Source organism: Homo sapiens, chromosome 9 (genome assembly GCF_000001405.40).
Source record: "Homo sapiens chromosome 9, GRCh38.p14 Primary Assembly".
NCBI lineage: Eukaryota > Metazoa > Chordata > Mammalia > Primates > Hominidae > Homo > Homo sapiens.
Window position 1 is genome coordinate 34542419 of NC_000009.12, and position 20032 is coordinate 34562450.

The 20032-nt window shown below is 54.4% G+C and overlaps 1 protein-coding gene across 15 annotated transcripts in view, besides 3 other annotated features; it reads right to left on the reverse strand.

Moving 5' to 3' along the window:
• Positions 4379–4878: an enhancer, noted in NCBI's record as "H3K4me1 hESC enhancer chr9:34546795-34547294 (GRCh37/hg19 assembly coordinates)". NCBI's record gives its function as "activates a minimal SCP1, AML or CMV promoter by ChIP-STARR-seq in primed H9 embryonic stem cells {active_cell/tissue: H9 hESC(primed)}" and the evidence as "EXISTENCE:reporter gene assay evidence [ECO:0000049][PMID:30033119]".
• Positions 4474–4553: a silencer, noted in NCBI's record as "silent region_19849". NCBI's record gives its function as "represses an Ori minimal core promoter by ATAC-STARR-seq in GM12878 lymphoblastoid cells {active_cell/tissue: GM12878}" and the evidence as "EXISTENCE:reporter gene assay evidence [ECO:0000049][PMID:35858748]".
• CNTFR (ciliary neurotrophic factor receptor) overlaps positions 9015–20032 on the reverse strand; it is a 39420-nt gene continuing 28402 nt past the window's right edge. For 14 of the 15 annotated variants that reach the window (XM_047422756.1, XM_047422755.1, XM_017014263.2 and 11 more), the window contains 6 exons: positions 15449–15566; positions 15108–15274; positions 13837–14000; positions 10256–10436; positions 9743–9911; positions 9015–9653 (listed from right to left, as the gene is read on the reverse strand). In XM_047422756.1, the coding sequence (XP_047278712.1) occupies position 9653; positions 9743–9911; positions 10256–10436; positions 13837–14000; positions 15108–15274; positions 15449–15566 (800 nt within the window). In that variant the 3' untranslated portion in view covers positions 9015–9652. Of the gene's footprint in view, positions 9654–9742; positions 9912–10255; positions 10437–13836; positions 14001–15107; positions 15275–15448; positions 15567–20032 lie in introns of those variants that run through there. The other variant, XM_047422754.1, reaches the window with a different exon arrangement.
• Positions 12605–13197: an enhancer, noted in NCBI's record as "H3K27ac-H3K4me1 hESC enhancer chr9:34555021-34555613 (GRCh37/hg19 assembly coordinates)". NCBI's record gives its function as "activates a minimal SCP1, AML or CMV promoter by ChIP-STARR-seq in primed H9 embryonic stem cells {active_cell/tissue: H9 hESC(primed)}" and the evidence as "EXISTENCE:reporter gene assay evidence [ECO:0000049][PMID:30033119]".

A 20032-nucleotide genomic window follows, 5' to 3' on the forward strand; every position in this document is an offset into this window, starting at 1 on the left:
CACACCTCAGATAATCCAGGATAGTCTTCTCAAGATCCTTGACCACATCTGCAAAGTCTCTTTTGCCATATAAGGTAACATTCACAGGTTCTGGGAATTAGGATGTGGACATCTTGGGGGCCATTATTCAGCCTACCACGAGGGGAGTGGCATATTATCTCACAGTCTTTAAAATGCCCTCCAATTTTGTTATTACCAGGCTGAAGATAAGGAATTGGAGGCTCATAGAAGTTAAGTGATTTGCCTTAGACAGGCAGACAGGTAGATAAATGATAAATGTTTTCTAAAATAGACAAAAGAATACAAAGAAAAATGCAACAAAGCACTCAAAACCTCACCACCCAGAAATGATCAGTATTACGTTTTGTAACCATATACATAATACATAAAATTGAGGAGAGAGGTTAGAGAGAGAGCCAGTCAGGTAGAAAAAATATCTAAGAATGGGACTGTTCTCATAGTCCTAATGGGATATACTATAGAAACTATTTTTTTAGGCCAGGTGCAGTGGCTCACGACTGTAATCCCAGCACTTTGGGAGGCCGAGGCGGGCGGATCACGAGGTCAGGAGATCGAGACCATCCTGGCTAACACGGTGAAACCCTGTCTCTACTAAAAATACAAAAAAATTAGCCGGGCGCGATGGCGGGCACCTGTTGTCCCAGCTACTCGGGAGGATGAGGCAGGAGAATGGCATGAACCCAGGAGGCGGAGCTTGCAGTGAGCCGAGATCACGCCACTGCACTCCAGCCTGGGCGACAGAGTGAGACTCTGTCTCAAAAAAAAAAAAAAAGAAAAAGAAACTATTTTTTTAACCAAAAGTAGAAAATGTACGTTTACTTGAGTTTAATAGAGAAAAAAAGAAACTGAAGCGAAAATGGAATAGCTGAAATATTTCTTCACCTTAAAAGAGTAGTCATTCCTAAAAGACCTCTCTCAAGAGCCATTTCAATTAAGAGATTGGGCCAGGCGCAGTGGCTCACGCCTGTAATCCCAACACTTTAGGAGACCTAGGCAGCAGGATCACTTGAGCCCAGGAGTTCGAGACCAGTCTGGGCAACATGGAGAGACCCTGTCTTTACAAAAATTTAAAAATTAGCCAGGCATGGTGGCACATGCCTGTGGTCCCAGCTACTCGAAGGCTGAGGTGGAAGGATTGCTTGAGACCAGGAGGTCGAGGCTGCAGTGAGCTGTGATAGCACCATGTCACTCCAGCCAGAACAACAGAGCAAGACCCTGCCTCAAAAAAAAAAAAAAAAAAAAAAAAAGAAAAGAAAAGGAGGTTGGAGTAGGATTTTACCATTATATTCTAGTTTTATCCCTTTATTGACTTAGCTATGAACGAAGATGTGATTAGTACTTCTGCTTTCCTTGCTACCTCACCTCTCCATTCCAGACTGTGCATATAACTTTCGACTCCCCTGACATTACTAATAGCCCACTGTTGACGAGAAGCCTTATTAATAACATAAACAATTGATTTGCACATATTTTTTATGTTATATATATTATATACTGTATTCTTAAAGCTAGAGAAAAGAAAATATTAAGAAAATGATAAGGAAGAAATAATTTATTAATATTTACTATTCATTAAGTGGAAGTGGATCATCATAAAGGTCTTCATCCTCGTCTTCATGTTGAGGAGGCTGAGGAGGAGGAGGAAAAGGAGGGGTTGGTCTTGCTGCCTCAGGGGTGGCAGAGGCAGAAGAGGGAGAGGAAGGCAGGAGAGGCAGGCACTCTTGGTGTAACTTTTATTGATTTTACTTAATCTGTGAATAAGTGGACCTGCACAGTTCAAACTCGTGTTGTTCAAAGGTCAACTGTATTTACAGTGTTTTGCAACGAAAATTCCCACAGTGTCATCTTCGCTGAAATTGAATTAAGGTTAATTCCTACGTGGAATTAATGTCCCCACCAGTTCTTTACCATGAATTTCCCTTCCTCAGCTCCTGACCTTGACTAATCTCTTGGCTGAATGGATTTTGTCTTTTCTGGAAAGGTTCATGAGTACACCATCCCCCAAATTTATGATTGAGATCACCCACTCTGTTGGTTACGGTTTAGGGTGACACTTTTTCCCCTCAGAACTCTGTAGATATTGCTTCATTGTCTTCACTTGTCAAATGCTACCTTGGAGAAATCTGAGACCAGACTGAATATCCCCCCTTGTAAATAAATGACTTGCTTCTTCTGTCTAGGTGCCTTAAGTATTCTTACTTTAGCCCCAAAGTTTGGTAACTAAACCAATGTATCTTTTTTCTTTTTTAGACGGAAGGGTCTCACTATGTTGCCCAGGCTGGCCTCAAACTCCTGTGCTCAAGTGATCCTCCCGCCTAAGTCTCCCAAAGTGGTGGCATTACAGATGTGAGCCACCTCACCCAGCCAAATCAATGTGTCTTAATATCAATTACTCTGTGTCAACTTTTCTGGTATACAGTATGCCCCTTTCAATCTGAATATTCAGTTCTTTCATTTCAGGGGAAGATTTCTGTATTTTGTACCTTAATATCATTTTAAGTTCCATTTTTGGAACCCCTACTTTAGGGCTGTTAATAGTTGAGCTTATGGTAGCTTGTCTTTGTCCTATTACCTTCTCTCCAATTGCTTTAGTAGCTTTATCTTTTCCCACGACATTTACTCTTAATATCTCAAGCCTTTCCTATTACTTTGATTTTTAACCACTATTTAATGGTTAAAGCCTATTAATATCTATTATATTAATATTGATTGTTTCTCTGTTTCTAGTTTATTACATCTTTAAAAATAAGATTTCAGTCCTCTTTTACTTGCTTCTCTAATATCCCTTTCATCTAATTCATTGTTTTATCATCTTGCCTGAGTTCTTTGTTCTCCTGATTTCATGCTATTAAAAAGGCCTTCTATAAAAGGAAAGATTTGCCAGGACTCTGCTTTTATTCCTTTGGGTGTGTTTTCTTCTAGATCGGGGTCTTCATCGGTTGTTGTTTTCTTTTCATCATCTTTCTTGCTCCCTTCCTTCTTTCTCTCCCTCCTCCTTTCCTTTCTTCCATCGTCTCTCCTTCCTGCCTCCATTTTGACCGTGGTCTTGGTGTCTAAAGGCCATGCCATTTCCTTTCCTCTTACTCCTCTCTGCCATGGCCCATGTTTAGCCGACCTCTCCTTGCCCTGGTGTGCAGGCCCTGGAGCCCCTTCCCATCTTGTCTGGGCCCATTTGTCTCCCCTGGAGCCTATGGTTTGCACGCTGGCTGTTGCTTTCAAACTGTGCCCACCTCTGCCCCCGTGACGTCTATGGCCTGAGGGTGCCTGGCTAGGGCTGCCTGCTGCCCTTGATGGGGCCTAAGTGCTGTCCCTCCTCTGAGGCCCTGTTAGACATCTTGTTCCAACTGGTGGGCGGGGCATAACCCATTCCTGTAGGCACTGGTTTGTCCCCGCCAACCCCTGTCCCATCCCCTGGAAGACACCAAGCCATGGCAGCTCTCCTTGCTTCTACTGAGGTCTCATGGAGAAACACAAGGTCTTCTCCTTACAAAGGCTTTTTCCCAGACTTTTCCTAAGCCTGCCTACGCACCCAGTAGTCCACTTCTCTTAGATGACAGGATATTGTGTTTCATGGACTCACCTTTTTGGGAATGGGGTTAGGAGACATACTACTCACTCACTGCACCAGAATCTTCTGTTGTTTCTTTGCATGTCACATTTTAAGGTTTATAAAAAGGATTTCCTTGTTTGCTTGGACTTAGTGAGTTTGTAGTAGCGTTGTTGTTTTTGTTTGTTTTGGCTTGTGTTCATTTTATTAGAGGGAGGTGGGGTGGGGGGCTTCTGTGACGGTGTTACTTTGTCTCATTAACTCAGTGGTCCCCACCTTGCTTTGTCCATACCTCTCCCCTTGGACCGGCCCCTCTGGCAGCCCCAGCCCCCAGCACTTTCAAGTTCCTGGGATGAGACAAGGGCCCATAGAATTAGGCCTCAGCGCACAGTGGGTTTCAGTCCAAGGAAGAGAGGGAATAAGCAGGAAGCATTTCATGGAGACAGAGTCAGAGGGAACTCAAATGCTTCTCAGGAGGGCATCTGGGCAGAAACACAGCATGAACCAAGGCATGGATGTAGGAGAGGATGGGAACAATTACTGGGGAGCAGGAGGAGTCCAGCTGGAGGAGTGCCAGCTGGAGAAGCCAGGGAGAGGCTGGAGTGGTGGGCAGGCAGGGTCCAGGCAGGGGCTGCCCTTGCTATGACCAAAGCACTTAGCTCTTGGGTCTGGAATCTCAGGGATACTAATGGTGGGCGGGGCAGGTGTAGTAGGGAAGCCTGGTTCCCATTTCTCCTCCCCATCCTCAGCCCCTCCCAGAGACCTTCCTCTGAGTGCTACTCTCCCAGTGCCCCCTTGTCCTGGTAATGCCCAAGGTGTTCCTGCTGTCGTCCTGAGAGCCGCAGGTAAAGCCTCAGCCATGGCCACACCAGGCACACGCCATCACACACGAATGTAGCACATATGCATCCCTGGTCACCTAGCCACAGTAAAACAAACATGGTGCACAGCTGCATACCATCACTGCCATTTGCACGTGACGGCTCAGTGACACATGCTGTTGTGGGCATACTTTGCACACAGCCCCACAGTCCGGCTCCTTCTCTGGGTCGGTTGCTTCTGAATTTCCTGAGAACCTGTCCTGCCCCCTGGTGGCCATTCCCCAAGCCACTGCCCCTCTGGAAGGACCCCTTCTACCTCCTTCTTGCCTTCTGGCCTAGAACAGGCTCTTCCCTCAAACTGGAACTATGAGACCAGGCCCCTCAGACATCCTCCAGACCAGTCTCCCCCATCGGACATCCTCCAGACCAGCCTCCCCCCATCAGACATCCTCCAGACCAGCCTCCTTGCTCAGACGTCCTCCAGACCACCCTCCCCCCTCAGAAGTCCTTCAGACCAGCCTCCCCACTCAGACTGGTGCTGTCAGGCAAGGCCTTCCCAAACAGGGTGATCGACGTCCCAGTTTGCCTGGGACTGAGGGGTTTCCAGAGACTTGAGATATTCAGTGCTAAAACTGGGAAAGTTCAGGCAGACTAGAACTAGTTGGCGGTTCTAGTCTTTGGATCCATGTGCCTTCAGCTCAGTCTCCCCTCAGACTGGACCCACCAGACCAGGCCCTTTCAGACACCCCTGGGTCAGCTTACCCCTCAGGCTGGCCCTTTCAAACGAAAGCTCTTCTGATGCGTGTCCCAGACCCGCTCTGGCTCAGGCTCACCCTGTCGCGTGGGCCCTCTCAGACCCACTCACCCTCAGATTGGCTTTCCCATCAGAGTGGCACTGTCAGGTCCCTTCCAGCCTCTCCCCAAACTGGCTTCATCTGATGCCCTTCCTCAGACCTCCTTCCTCTCCCCCTCCTCTGAGAAGAGGCAAGGTAGGGAGATTACATTCCAATCACTCCTGCCCCCAGGACCTTAGCCCTGCATCTCCAGGCAGGCACCGCCTTCCCAGGGTCCTGTGGCTCTGGGCTGTGGGCCTCAGGACCTGAAGACAGGCAGGTGCAGGATGCAGGACTGGGACTGGAGCCGGGGATTCTGTTCTCTCCACGTGAGAATGAACTTTCTCGGAGTTCCCTCCTACACAGGCAGCGAGCTCACAGGCTCCGGGGAGTTCTCAGGGCCGGAGGCTGCCCAGGAAGGATTCCTGCCTAGTGTCACCCTCTTTCCTGGCTGGCTGCTGGGAACGCACCAGATGTGGGATGTCTGTGCTGAGAGCTGCCAGCCTAGGAGCAGGAATGAAGGGCAGGCAGGCGGCCGAGAGGGGGCAGCAGAAGCCAGGACAGTCCCTGGCGCAGGCCGGAGAGAAGCTGCGGCCACAGGCTGGGGGTCTGGATAGGGGTGGGAACACAGAGGGAGGCAAAAAAGAGAAGGACTGATAGAGTCAGGGAAGAGGGAGACAGAGGTGGAGGCATGGATAGAGATATATACAGAGAGACACAGAAATGGGGATGGAGACACATGAGACAGAGATGTAGAGAGAAACAGAGACAGAGATGGGGATGGAGACACAAGAGACAGAGGGAGAGGGAGAAGGCAGAAAAAGGGAAGACAGACAAGGAAGAACAGATGCGAAGACAAGCATGGAGAGGGATGAATATAGAAACGAGGGAAGAAGAGACAGGAGAAGAGACACAAGATGGAGACATACAGAGAGACAGGGATGGAACAGAGACATACAGAAAGAAATGCAGATAGGAACCAGGACAAAGACAGATTCAGAGATAGGAATGGGACAGAAAGAGATAAATATAGGCTGGGCACAGTGGCTCACGCCTGTAATCTCAGCACTTTGGGAGGCCAAGGTGGGCGGATCACCTGAGGTCAGGAGTTTGGACCAGTCTGGCCAACATGGCAAAACCCCGTCTCTACTAAAAATACAAAAATTAGCCGGGCATGGTGGCGGGCGCCTGTAACCCAGCTACCCGGGAGGCTGAGGCAGGAGAATCGCTTGAACCTGGCAGGCAGCGGTTGCAGTGAGCCTAGATCTCACCATTGCACTCCAGCCTGGGAGACAGAGTGAGACTCCGTCTCAAAAAAAAAAAAAATAAATAAATAAAGAAGAGACAAACAACATAGAAATGAGAATGGGTTCAGCAAGAAGAGAGGGGCAGGGTGCACAGAGACAGGTCTAGAGTTGTAAGAATGGAGCAGAGCCACACTGGAAGAGATCAAGTGGGCAGGGGGCTGATAGGCCAGGACACAGAGCGGGGCCCAGCCACAGTGTATTGTCGGGGAGCAAAGAGAAGTAGGGGGCTGGAAGGCTGGGCCCCTGTGCAATGCACCTGGGGTCTGGGATCCCAGCCTCCCCTTCCCCCCACGCCTCAGGGTTGTTTTAATTCTCCAGATTCTGTTTTAACTCCAATGACCGATGTCTGCACTTATGCCTGGCTCCCCAGAACCACCATGGGAACTGGATGTGAAGGGACAGTACTATAGAGAGGCAACAGTCAGCAACTGAGACCCTCCAAGGCAAACAGCCTCTGTGAGGCCAAGGGCCCAAGACCCACAAGGAAGGTGACCACCCGCAGGCCCAGGCCAGTTGTCTAGTCAGAGGCAATGATGCTGCCCCTCCAGCCACCCTGGGCTTGAGGCAGAGCAGGTTCTCTCTTAGGGCTGGGGGCAGAGAGATAGAGGCCCCAGTCCTCCCCTCCATTGGCCTCTGAAGCTCCGGCAGGCCCCCTCTCCTCCTTCTGCCCCTTCCTCCTGAGGCCCCACGTAATTGCTTTCCCATGTTGCTAATGGAGGCCAGATTGTTGATGCCCAAGCTCGGTGGGCGGTGGGTAGGTCAGGGCTGACCAGGGCTCTCAAGGCAGAAAGGCAGCTCAGGCCAGAGACTCCTCACTTCATCCCACCCACCCCAAAGATGAAGGGTAGAAGTTCTGACACATCCCAGGAATGTTCTGGGGGAGACCGTTGGTGACCCCCTGTTATCTCTACTCATGCTGGACCTGGAGCCTAGGTTCAGGCTGAGCCACACCTCACAGGGACCAGACCCCCAGGCAGAACTCAGGGTTCAGGGTACAGAGCAGGTCCACAGCCACCTCTCAGGATATCCATCCTGGGAGCCTCTTCCTGTGAATGAAGAGCCCTGTGCTTCCATAGCTGGGGCTGTTCAGCTTGAAAAGCCACAGGCTTCACCTTGACGCCAGGCCTTTGCTTTCAGGGGTCTCCCACCTAGAATACTCCTCTCTCTTCTAACCTGGAGAAGAGATGGCCATTTTACTGTGAAGCCCCTCACCAGGCCCCACCTCTGGGACTGTGTCTTGTCCAGGCCAGACTCATCGGTGCTTGAGGCACTGCCAATCCCCCTCCCAGGGCACGATCCCAAGGAGGCCTGGCGATCGCAGCAAGGGGTATCCATTTCCGGAGCCTAGTCGGAGGTGAAGGGTTTGAACTGGGAGAAAGTGTGTGATGGCATCAGGGTGGCTGGTGGCTCTGTAGCGGTGTAGTGCTCAGTGCCTGCCACGGGGAGTGTATCAGGAGGACACATCTGTGCACAGGTGGGTGTGGGTGTGGACCTGACTTTGACTCCACCCACCTCTTCTTACTCCAGGAACCCAGAGAAAGGCCAAAACCTGGCTCCCCAGGTTGGAGCTCCGAACTCCCCTTTCACCCCCGCCCCCAGGTCACATGGCCTGCCTACCTGGCCCCAGCCCTGGGCATTCCCAGCTGAGAAATGCCTGCTTATGCTCAGTAAGGCGGCTTCTATAAGTGGGGTCTGGACCTAAGCAGGCCTGGGACAGCCAAGTGTCCTCCTCTGAGGAGAAGTCAGAGGGATCCCGGAGCCCCAGTTTGGGGACTGGAAGGGTGTGGGCAGTATCTGAGGCTGGACCAAAGACTGACCATCCTGTAAAGCCAAAGCCCCACCCTCTCCAGCTCCACACTGAGTCCTGACTATAACCCAGCCCTGGGAGTAAGCCTTGTACTCTGTCATTCCAGTCCTGAAGCCCAGGTCCCGTCCCTGGTCACACTCCAAGCAGCCTCCTCCTTCAGGCAGCCCCCCTGCCTGCCTAGGCCCAGGACACTCTGTGCTCTGAGCCCTTGTGGCCTGGCTGAGCCCTAGGCCTGACCTTCTAGCACCCCTGGACTATCTCTTGGATGGCAGGGATCACGCACACCCCCTGGCCCCAAGGATGAAGCCTGCCCCTCCCCTTCTGCCATCATCCCTAGCCCTGTGCACTGGGCTCAGGCCTGAGCACTCATGGAAGGCAGTTCTAGAGGTGACCCTTGAAAGGCTTCTGCCCCAGCCAGGACTTCGGCAGCCTCCAGGACTGACTGGATACCCCCGTGGGATCCCTTATTTCCCACAGTTTTTCCCTGGCAGCAACTCTGTGCTCCAGGAAAGCCCTACCCCCCAAGAAGTAGACAACACTGTTACCAGCTACACTGGCCTGAAAGCTGAACACCTCTCCCCACCTTCCCCAACCACAATTTCTTTCCTCCGCCAGCCCTGGATGGGGTGGGGTCCTTGGAAGAGGGGTACCCTCCCAAAGTGGGTCTGTTCCAAGGACTCATGAAATGGTGACGTTTAATGAGAACCGCCCACTCCCCCCACCCTGTATATACATCTATAAAAAATTCAAATACAGCAAGTTACCATTGAGTCAGACTAGAAGGGACTGACAGGGCATTAAATACTGTGGGATAGGAGCAGGGTCAGGGGAGGGGTATACAAAACAGGGCAGAGGGGAGGGGACTGAAAATTGTGGGTGCTGGGGGGAGGGGGATGGCTGGGCCCCCCCAGCATCAGGAGCTTATAATCTGATGGTGGCAACAGAGACCCTGGGATAGACAGGAGGCTGGGGCAGGAGGAGAAATCGGATGTGAGAGGCTCCCCTCACGTCCCCCAAGGGCTCCTGGGAGTCGCTGGCATTGGAGGGTCCAGCCCAAGGGGCCAGGGTGAGGGGGTCTTTGGTGGGTGGGTTAGCTGCATGGCCCACCTCCCCTGAGGGAGGAAGGAGGGCCAGCTTGGTGCGGCAGGGCTGGGGGGCGGCAGGCCCGGGCCCGCCGGGGTCTCCACAAATTGTGTCTGAAGAGAATGCAAAAGGTCCTCCTGCCCGTGTGCAAAATAGAAACCGGGGTCTGCAGGCTCAGCTCCGGCCTCCTGCTCCTCTGCAGGTGCTCTGCATGTCCTCATGGGGTGCCGGGCTCTGTAGAGACAGGCAGGGGCCTGTCAGGGAGGGGGCTGGAGTGGGGGTTCCCTCAGGCTCCCTCTGCCACCCAGCCTCACTCAACCTACCAGATCAAGAGACTGCTGGCAGTGGCGGCAGCGGCAGCCAGGGCCAGAGTGATGGGGACGCTGACCAAGAAGGGTGCCGAGGGTCCCCCGCCGCTGCCCAGCTCCCCAGGGTCACAGATCTTCGTGGTAGGTGGGGGTGCCAGGGAGCTGGTGGTGCTGGTCGTGGTCTCTGGGGAACATGGGGGAAACTCAGGGCAAGGCCAGGGCTGGGTCCCATCCAGATCTGGGGGCTCATGAGACATACCATTCTGCTTCCTGCATCAGACTGGTACTGCCTCCCCCATCAGGCAGATCCTGTTTCCCAAGGCTCACAGATAACCCCTCCACCCAATGACCCCTACCAAGGATGTCCAGATAGCAAGGACCAGGAATGGCAGGAGTTGGACAGACAGGCAGAAGTGTGGCTACCCCCGGGAGCAGAGGCTGGAGGCAGCAGGGTAGAACCAGGCCACAGGTTCTACCACAGGCCTCCAGGACAGCAAAGCCAGGAGGTAGGGGCGGGAGCAAGCTCACCCGCAGCCTGGGCCTCCGTGGTGAGGTGTCGCGGTTCCTCAGTCCAGGGCGTAGCGTGGGCGGCTACGCTCCAGTCACTCCATGTCCCAATCTCATTGTCCTTGGCTGCCACCTGGATAATGTACTCCTTCCCGGCGTAGGCATCTGTGATGGTGTGTGCTGTGCCGTCGGACAGCTCCACCTGCAGCCAGACCATGGGGTGGGGGTAAGGACACACCTGGGGGCCAGGAGGGTGAGGTCCCTCCAGAGGAAGTGAGCATGCCTCTGAGGAGAGGAGAGTAAAGGGCTCTGGGGGCAGTGAGGACTTCCCTGAGGAGAAGGAGGACATGGAGAATATTCTTGCCAGAGACTGGGGACATCTTAGGGAGGAGACTCCACAGGAGGGGAGTTGTCCCTGAAGGAGAGTAATGACATCTTTAAGGAGACCAGAAACACCTCAGGGGAGAATAAGGAGGTCTTTGCCCTGTGCCTACAACTCTGCTGTTGCCCCTGCTCTCTCACAGCCCCTAGCCCGGCTGAATCCCGACCACAGTCCCAGCCTGGAGGTGGCAAGGGCAGGGGGTGAGAGGAGATGGTAATGCTGTCCTCCTCTCCCACCAGGAAGCCACAGAGAGGGGAGGTTGACACACTGACTGGAGCTAGGCTACCTGAGTTCCAAATTTGGCCCCATCCCTTAGTAGTGAGGTGACCAAGTTACTTAACATCCTCATGCCTTGCCATCCTCATCTGTAAAACGGCATTCATGAGAGTATCCACCTCTTAGGGTTACAATGAGGACCAAGGCATGAGGACAGCATCAAACACACTTCAGCTAGCACTGTCATTACCATGGCTTCTGGTCAGAGCCTGGGTTCCCAGATGCCCAAGGCACCTACCAGCCTGGCCCCAGCTGAGCCTCCCCTTAGGAAGGCCTCAGTGTGGTTATCACCCTGCTGGGGCGGAAAGGGGTGGGGGACAGCCCCTGGAGCTGCAGGGCGCAGGACAGCTGCTCCATTTCCTCCTGGAGGCATCGCCACCCCACTCTCGCCCCGCTGGCCCCATCCTGCTGGTCTCCCCCAACCCTCCAGGCCAGCCTGCCTGTCCGGCGCCCCTTCCAGGCCCAGGCTGGGCTCTGGTTCATCTCAGTGGCACCCGCTGCCTCATTAAGCCGCCTCGTAAACAGGGGCAGCCGGCAGGGGCGGAGGAGGGGGCCGCTCTGGGCCACGTCTGGCTTCAGGGCTTTTTTGGTCCCTGTTCCAACCTTCCCCCGAGAAAACTGGGGTCTGGGCTATCTGACCTGACAGGCTGTGAGTGCATGCACACGTGTGTGTATGTGTCTGGGCATGTGCGGTGGGTCCAAGCGGGGCAGGAAGCCCCTCCAGTTCCTGCTCAGCCTGTGGCCCTGATACGGTGGTAAAGGTCAGGGTCATGGTGAGACACCTTTTGGGCCCAGACCCTGGGCTCAGTAAATCCTAATCTCAGCCCTGGAAGATCGGAGGGTCCCAAAGACCCTCTTCTCCTGGAGCCAGGGTCCCAGTTCCACCTCTGGCACCCCAGTCCCTTTCTGCTCGGCAAAGATACCCTCTGGCTGAGTAGCCACGGCTCCTTCGGCTCTGTCTCCCTCCTGCCAGGATTAGACCGCAGATCTCCACGTCAGTCTCTCCCCACAGGGAGGGAGCCACGGGGAACAGATCAAATTGCCACCTCATTGTGGGCTTATGGTGGGCACCATACCTCCAGGAATGTGGCCCCCAGGAGGTCAGTGCTCTCCTCGGGGCCACATATCCTAGACCAGGATCCTTCTTGCTAGGTTATCAGTGATCCCTTCATCCTGCCTCTCAAGAGAAAGGCTTCTCAATTGGCAGGAACTCCCTAGTCACTGACATTGGCCTCCCCTGGGAGTCCTCCGTGGTCTGCTGGAGCAGATGCCAGACACGCCCTCCAGGCCATCGCAGGAGCTGCAGGGAACCCATGCTGGGTCCCAGTACTTGCCTCCCTCTTGTCCATGCTGAGACAGCCCCTGCCCAGGGCCCATTCTTTTGCAATTCCTGATCTGTATTTTCCTCCTGAAAATCCAAATGATGTTTTTCTTTGTTCTGCCCTTCTCGCCCCCTCCCAGTCATACACCTGCCTCTCCCCAAGGTCAAGGACTGGGGAGAATAGACTCTGTTCACAGCAAAACTTCAGCTGAAAAGAACCATAAATCTAACCAACCCCAGTGCCAGTGAGTCACAGAATGGGGCTAGGATGCACTACAGGCCACGCATGTTCTCGCCACGGAGCCTGCACACTTTGCTTCTCCCACCTCAGTGTGGGGGTCAGTTTTGCGCATGGTCTCGGCATGTTAGTTGCACACACGTATGGTGTACGGTTCCCGCTGGGAGCCGCGTGCGTGTGCATGTTCCCGTGTGTGTGGTGGGCGGTGTGCCAGGTCCACTGCAAGGCGTGTGCGCCGCGACGCGCGGGGCTGCTGCCTGTAGCTCGTTAGCGGGGGAGGGGGGCTTGTGAAACTAGACCCTGGTTATTAGCAATGCATTAGGCGCGGGCAGCTGGCCAGGCGGGAGGGACTCCGGACTCTGTCAGGGAACATGTGAGTGCATGAGCAGGCTTTGTGGGGGACAGGCACCCAGGAATCGAATTACACACTTTAAAGGCCGGACTGGATAGGGGCATGAGGAGCTGGAGTTAGAGCCTGGTAGATGAGGTGGGGGTACAAGTTGACCCCCAGGAACCAGCCTGGGTTGTCCCATGGAGCACCCTCTCAACCCCACTCCTAGCCCACAGGCCTCATGGGTCACACAGAGTGCCCACGACCCTATGGGCCCAGGGCCCTCAAAGCAAGAGAACCCGAAGTCTGCCCCAGACCTCTGGCTGTTCCCCAGAGCTCTCTATTGTAGCTTGATCCAGACCATAGTCTGACCCCATACTGACCCTTGTCCACTGCTTGGTTCCCAGCCAGGCTACCTTCCGACTCACAGCCTCAAGCTGACCCCTAAGCTGGGTCTGACTTTGGAGTCCTGATGCCAGTCAGGGCCTAAACTCACATGCTGGACCAGGCTTGACCCCACTGCCTGATCCTGACCCCTTGGGCCCATCTGTGAGCCCTTGAGGACAGGCACGTTCCTGTCCCTTGGGGCCAGCACAAGCCCAGAGCCTGGGCCAGAGTGTAAAGAGGGAGATGCCTGGTCAGGGCTGAGAGCGAGGTAAGGAAAGGGAGCCTTGCCTGTCCTGCCCGCCATCTCCCTCCCCCGCCATCTCCCTCCCCTGCCATCTCCCTCCCCCGCCATCTCCCTCCCCCACCATCTCCCTCCCCCGCCATCTCCCTCCCTCACCATCTCCCTCCCTGCATTTCTCTCCACGACCCCAGGGAGCCACAGAAAGACATATGTGTTCCCGCTGCACTAACAGGGGTCACTGGGAACCCCTAAGGACACCTGCCTCAGCTCCATCCATTCTCCCAGGCCCACCTGTCCCTTTTCCCCGCAGAGAGCCTGATGCATCAGGTCTCACACTGGAGCTGCTGCCACGTGGGATATGGGTGCCACTCACTGCACATGATTCTAACTCAGGCACCCAGGATCTTGGCCGGGCAGGGCACTCACATGCTGCCACTGGTCCAGGATGAGGGGTCGGTAGCGCAGAAAGAACTTGAGAGGAAAAGACTCAGGGTCAGGCCAGGTCGAGGGGGTCTGCCACGTCACCTCCAGCCGGCGAGGGTTGCTGGGCACTGGCCGGGCTACCACATTTTCTGGAGGATCAGGCTTCACTGTTCAGGAGACATAGCTTCATTACTACACTAATCACTGGCAACAACCCACTTTGTCAACTCCAGCCACCATGTTGACCCTCTCATATTGCCAACCATTGTCATCAACATCATAGTCAGCGTGCCTCTTCTCTGTTGTCAATTCTGATAACTACCATAGACAACTATCTCATTAGTTCCAAGTCTGATATCCCCATCATCACTAATGACTGTCACTACAGTCACTGTCACCAACTCTTAATATCAACATTCCAAATTTCATCTCATCATCCCATCATCCCAACCCTATCCTCATACTGACCTGCATCCCAGTAACTAAGACAATATGATGCCTCCATAGTTACCACTGTCACCCCCACTGTCACCTGGACTACCCCCTCCTACACCAGCATCACACATTCCCCCAAGCCTGGTTTTTCACTTCAACTTTTCCAGTTCCAAACTAAGACCTGGGTCAAGGGTAAAAGACAGTCCACAGGTGTTGCAGATCTGGAGGTAGGCTGGGGATCTGATGAGCGCGCCTAAGGGCCCAGCTTATGTAGAAATACTCTGTCTAGGGATCCAGCCATGGGGTCTGGGGAGAAGACAGGGGCAGGCAGAAGGTCTGGCTGGGGCGGGGGAATAGCAGGCAGAGAGCCTGCCTGGAATAGGGCAGGGGCAGGTAGAGGGTCTGGCTGGGATGGGGGGGGTCAGGGGGAGGGCAGTATCTGTCCCAGTCCTGTCTCCTGTTCTGACACCTCATTCATCACAGTCCGTAAGGAAGCCATTAGAGTTGGGGGGGGGTGCGGTGGAGGCTGCAGCTGCACAAGGGTCTGGCCCAGCCTGCCCCCCCTTCCCCCTGCTGCATGTTCTGGGAGCCAGAAAAATGATCGAAAGAGCTGCTGGACAGGTCTCTCGGCCCTTCAGGTAAAGGACATTCACTTACACGTTCACAGGTGTATATGTCATGCATATATGTGCACATATATGTGCACTGTACATACCTGTGCAGAGGCATGTACATGCCATGTATACATGTGCATGCATGTGGACATCCCCACCAATGGCACACATCCACTTACATTCCCACTGGAGTAGGCAGCAGGTCCCCCCAACCGCCACACGTACCAATGGTGAACTCGTCAAAGGTGATAGCTGTGGCATTGTGGCCCAGGGCATTGCTGACACTTATGGAGACCTTGTACTTGATGGTGGAGAACAGGTGCATGTAGCGAATGTGGCAGCGGTTCTTGAGGGCTGGGTCCTTCTCACAGACCATAATTTTGGAGCCATGCCTGGGGAGAGGTGAGACCCAGGCACTGTTACGAACATCAAGGGTCAGGTGGGGCAGAGGTTGAGGAAAGGTCAAGCCCAAGGCAGGGCTGGGGTATGGACAGAGGGCATGGTGGTGGGATGGGGGAGAGGTCAGAGGTCAGGGCTGGACCCGGGTCACAGGCGCAGCTACTCACAGCACAGTCACATTGAAGGTGTTGGGAATGTAGGTGGGGGTGGGCAGATGCCAGCTGCAGTAGAAGCCCTTGGGGTAAGTGTTGGAGCGGCAGCTGAGCACAGGCTCCCGCGGCGGCACTGGGGGTGAGGACAGTATGGTCAGGGCATTCTTGGAGCTCCCAGTCCCCTGCACTGTATGGGGACAGGTGGGCCCCAGAGCCCCAGCTCTCCCCCCTCAACCCATCATTGATGCCAAAGTTGTGGCGGGGAGGCTGTCAGCGAGGGTCTGAGGCTTCCCAGGCCACAAGAGCCAGATGTTTAATTAAAGAAAAACAAGGGCTGTGCGGACACGGAACCCCCCCTCCACCTGCTCAATGGAGGCAGGAACCGTGGGGAGCAGGGGGCTGCGGGCCTCAACTCATCAATCACAGGATGGAGGTGATGTCTGGGGGAATCGGCCCCAGCCCCACATCTCCTGCCACTTTGTGTCCACTCCCAGAGGAAGACTGTGCTGCAGAGACGAGGGGAGTCTTGAATGGGTCCTCCGACTGCTGGAGTATCGGGTGCACTTCCTAGAGAAGAGACACCCCAGACTTCCCTCAGTAGAGACAGAGACACGAGGACAGGCCTGGTGGCTACACAGGAACAGCACTGGGCAGCTGTTTGTATGCGTATCTGTGTTTGTAGATGTCTGCATGCAGGGGTATACGTGCTACATGCATGTCTCTATGTGACATGAATGAGTGACCAGGGATCCGTAGGAGCAGCTATGCGGATGTGTGTGAATCTGCATGTCTATGTATGATTGTGTGTGTGTACAAGTGCCTGTTGAAAGGAAGCTGCTGTTCCCTTTGTGTGTACCTCACCTTAGTGCCAGCCCCCAGCATCTCCATCGCAGACCCTTTAAGAAGCCCTTTACATGGTAAGCAGCTGCCCTCACTCTGGAATAGGAAGGCCCAGAGAGGGATAAGGACCTCTCAAGGTCAGACAGTAAGCCAGAGCTAAACCCCAGGACAGGGGTAACCCTATACACACACACTTGGGAAGTCCTTTCTGCTGTCTAGCCCGCACTCTTTTTTGCTGCCGTGAGCACTTAGCCCAGCTGTCCCACCCTCAGGCATTGGGTAAGGCGTGAGGACAGGCGGCTCAGGTTCCTGGAAGGAGGCAGCTTATGTGATCTGACCCGAGCAAGGAATGTCCATCTGCGGCTCCAGGGACACTGACACCTCCCTCCTGTGCCTCCCCCCTCCCCCGCCCCCGGCCTGACAGGTGGACAGGAAATGGGAGGGGGGCAGCGCAATAAGCCAGGGACAGTGAAGGGGAGTGCATGTCTATGCTTGTAGAGTGGCCATGGTGACACAGGGGAACAGTGGGCTTCCATCCACAGTGTGCACGTGACTGTGAGTGACTCTGTGTGATTGCGTGTGCGTGTCCAGTATGTGTGATGCTGGGAGGGGCCTGGGGCAGAACCCCCAGGATCCAGATCTAGCTTTGCAGCAGAAGAGATGAGGGGGCAGAGAGGCATCAGAACTCCAGGGCACCAGGTGGAGGGTGCAATGCTGTGGGCGGAGGCAGCTCCATTCCCCAGGCCTGTCAGGGAAAGCGGGGTCCAGCTGAGACCCCACAGGGCCAACCTGCATTCTGCCTTCCACTGTGTGCCTCCCTTGGGAAGCCTTCCGGGCCCTGCGTCCATCTCATGTCGTTCCATGTTCATCCTGTGTGCCTTTAGTGTCTCTTCCCTGTCTGCCCACGGGTGCAGAACTCTGCCTGGGGGTGGGGTGGGGGGCGGCCAAGGACACAGGAAGTGCCTTCTGGGGGCCTGTTGGCCAAGCCAGAGTTGGCAGCCACCCCAGGAGGAAAGGACATTCCGAGGTCGGCCGAGAAGCCTCCACTCCCCGCTCCTGCCACCGCTGGGGGTGGGGTGGGGATCGGAGTGTGCAGAGTCCGCTCCCTGCTGCCCCGGACTCCTCGGAGGGCAGAGCGGGCCACGGCACTGTACTCACAGGCCCCCACCCCTGGCCAGCCTCCCCACTGACCAGGCTCCCCCACTCCCCGACTGTCCTCCCCCCTCAGACCGCGTCCCCTTCCAACCTCCCCCTCACGCCAGTTCCTCTCCCTGACTGGGGAGGTCATGGTGGGGTGGGGGTTGGGGGGCTGACTGGAGGCTTTGTCTGTCATCTGGCTACTCCTGCCTGGCCCTGGGCCCTGAGCAGGGAAGGGCTTGGGTTTCCTGACAGGGACCAGGTTTCTCAGAGGGAAAAGGAGGAAAGAAAAACAAAAGGAAGAAAAGGAGTGACTTGCTGCAGCTGGAGCCCAGCTGAGGGGCCGGGTGGGCGGAGGTGGGGGTGCTGTGAGATTGTAGGACAGTGTGAGATCAGGATGCCTGTTGTGAGTGTGTTGTGAGTTGGAGGAAAAGCTGTTTTTAAGACGCTGTGATTGCAAGGCTGTGTGTAACTGTGAGGCTCCATGTGTGTGGCTGTGAGACTCTGGGCAGTTGTGTAACTGTAGGATGGGAGGCTGTGTGGGACTGGATGACTGTGTTTGCACGTGACTCAGGGTGAGGCTGTTCAATCTCGAGACTGTCTCTATGTGCTAGGCTGTGTGGCCAAGGTACTCTGTTAGAGTGCCTGTAAGTGTGCCATTGTGTCTGAACACAGTGACAGCTAGAGCTCATACATGAGGCAGTGCATATGTGATGGAGCATAGTGAGGCTGAATGTATTTTGCAAACTGTGCATGTGGGAGGGTGCCCAGAATTCACAGCATGTTCACACGTATGAACTGAACACCGTGTGAGTGCATGTTAAAGAGAGTGTGTGAGCAAATGCTCTTATGCACACAGGTCACAGTATCAGGCTCTGGGCATACACGGCATCTGGGTTGCCCCTTGTGGGGGCTCTTGAGACACCCAAGTGACTGTCAGCCTGTGGCAGGGTGTCCCTGGGTCCCACGCGGGGCTGTGTGCGCGTGTGTATGTGTGCGTGTGCCCCCACTGGCCCAGGGTTTGTTTGTTTTCCTCCTAATTGGCTTGTTTTTCCATGTCCAGCCCACCAAACCGCATGTTTTTCCTCTCATCTCGCCAGCCTGCCTGGGCTGGAGCCCCCGGCACGCATGAGGCCTGCCCGCCGGCCCAGACAGGAGGAGGGGCAAGCTGCCCACACCCTAGGCCAGGCCAGATCAGGCAGGGTGGGGCAGGGTGACCCTTCCACTCCAGCCCTACCCACGCCCCACCCACACGCCGCCTCCTGCCTGGCACTCAAGGCTCAGGCCTGGCTCAGCCTTATCTCGTGGCATCCCTTGAGGCATTCCAACTTCTGGACTCCCAAATGCCCCGGCGACCTCCCACTTGTGATTTCTCCCCAGACGTCTTCTTTGACCATAGCCCTCTCCTCACTCTTTCCTTTCCAGCCAAACAGGGCTGCAGGGAAAGCAGTGCTGAACCAGGGGACCCAGAGCTTCCATCCTAACCAATCAAATAAAAGTTTTAAAAAACTGGAGAAGGAACTGTCCATTTAAAAATCATTTTAATCTCTGGTTTGTTTTAGCTTAAGATCAGAACGATACAGAATCAGCAGTGTCTTGTAAATAAAAAGATGCTACTAAAAGCAACACTGTGATCCTGCTTCCTAATGTGGGGGGTCCTTCCGTCATCCTAGGGAGGAGAGGAGTCCTTAGGGCTCTGCTCGTGAGGATCCACTTGAGAGCAAGAAGGTGGATCAGGAGAAAGCAGTTCAGGGATTAGCCTGGTTAAGGAGACTTCCAACAGAATACTGTTAAGACCAAGTTCCCTTGTAAATAGAGACAAATTGCATGTGTTTGGGATAAATATTAAATAATTTTTGGTTTGAATGACCCACAAATCAGGGGTAACTCTGTCCTGTTCTCTGAGAGCTGGCAGGAAGGATAATTTGATACTGAGTGTTGCCAAAGCCAGTCTCTTGTTACTAATATAAAGTGACTGAGACGATAATGATTAATATCCCCTGTTCCTCTGACCAGGTCTTTAGAAGGAAATAATGCAATGAGAGATAAGTACCTGAAACTAATGCTACAGCCAACTCATGGCCAGCCTTCATCTGGCAGCAGGGCCTGGAGGGCAGTGAGCACTCTATATAAAAGGTCTGGGCCCTGGTCACAACAGGGCAGCTGTGGGCATGTCCCGTGGGTATAGACTATGGACATTACTTCAAGACCCAATTCCCCTCCAACGACCTCTCAAAGAAGATCACATCATCAAGAATGGGGGTCCAGGGTCATCAAGGCCCAGCCATCACAGTCAGTCTTGTCCATCCTGAGGACTTCTGGGCCCAAACTGAGAAGACAGGGATGTGGGTGACCGGTGCCAAGTTGGGTTCATCCTTTTTCCATGGCACTCAGTAAATGGCCCTTTTCCCTCTGAAAGGGCCTGGGGCTAGGCTGAGTGCTCCACTTCTGATGGACCCCATAGTGCGCCAAGGAGAATTCTGTTAGGCTGGTCCTGCATTTCTCAAGCTGGCCAACAGGGGTCACTCCACCCATGGCTTGCAACTAAAATGTTGGGTTTTGAACGCCATCTCTTCAGTTTAGACACATTAAACAATAACCAAAAAAAAGGCCTTCCCATGG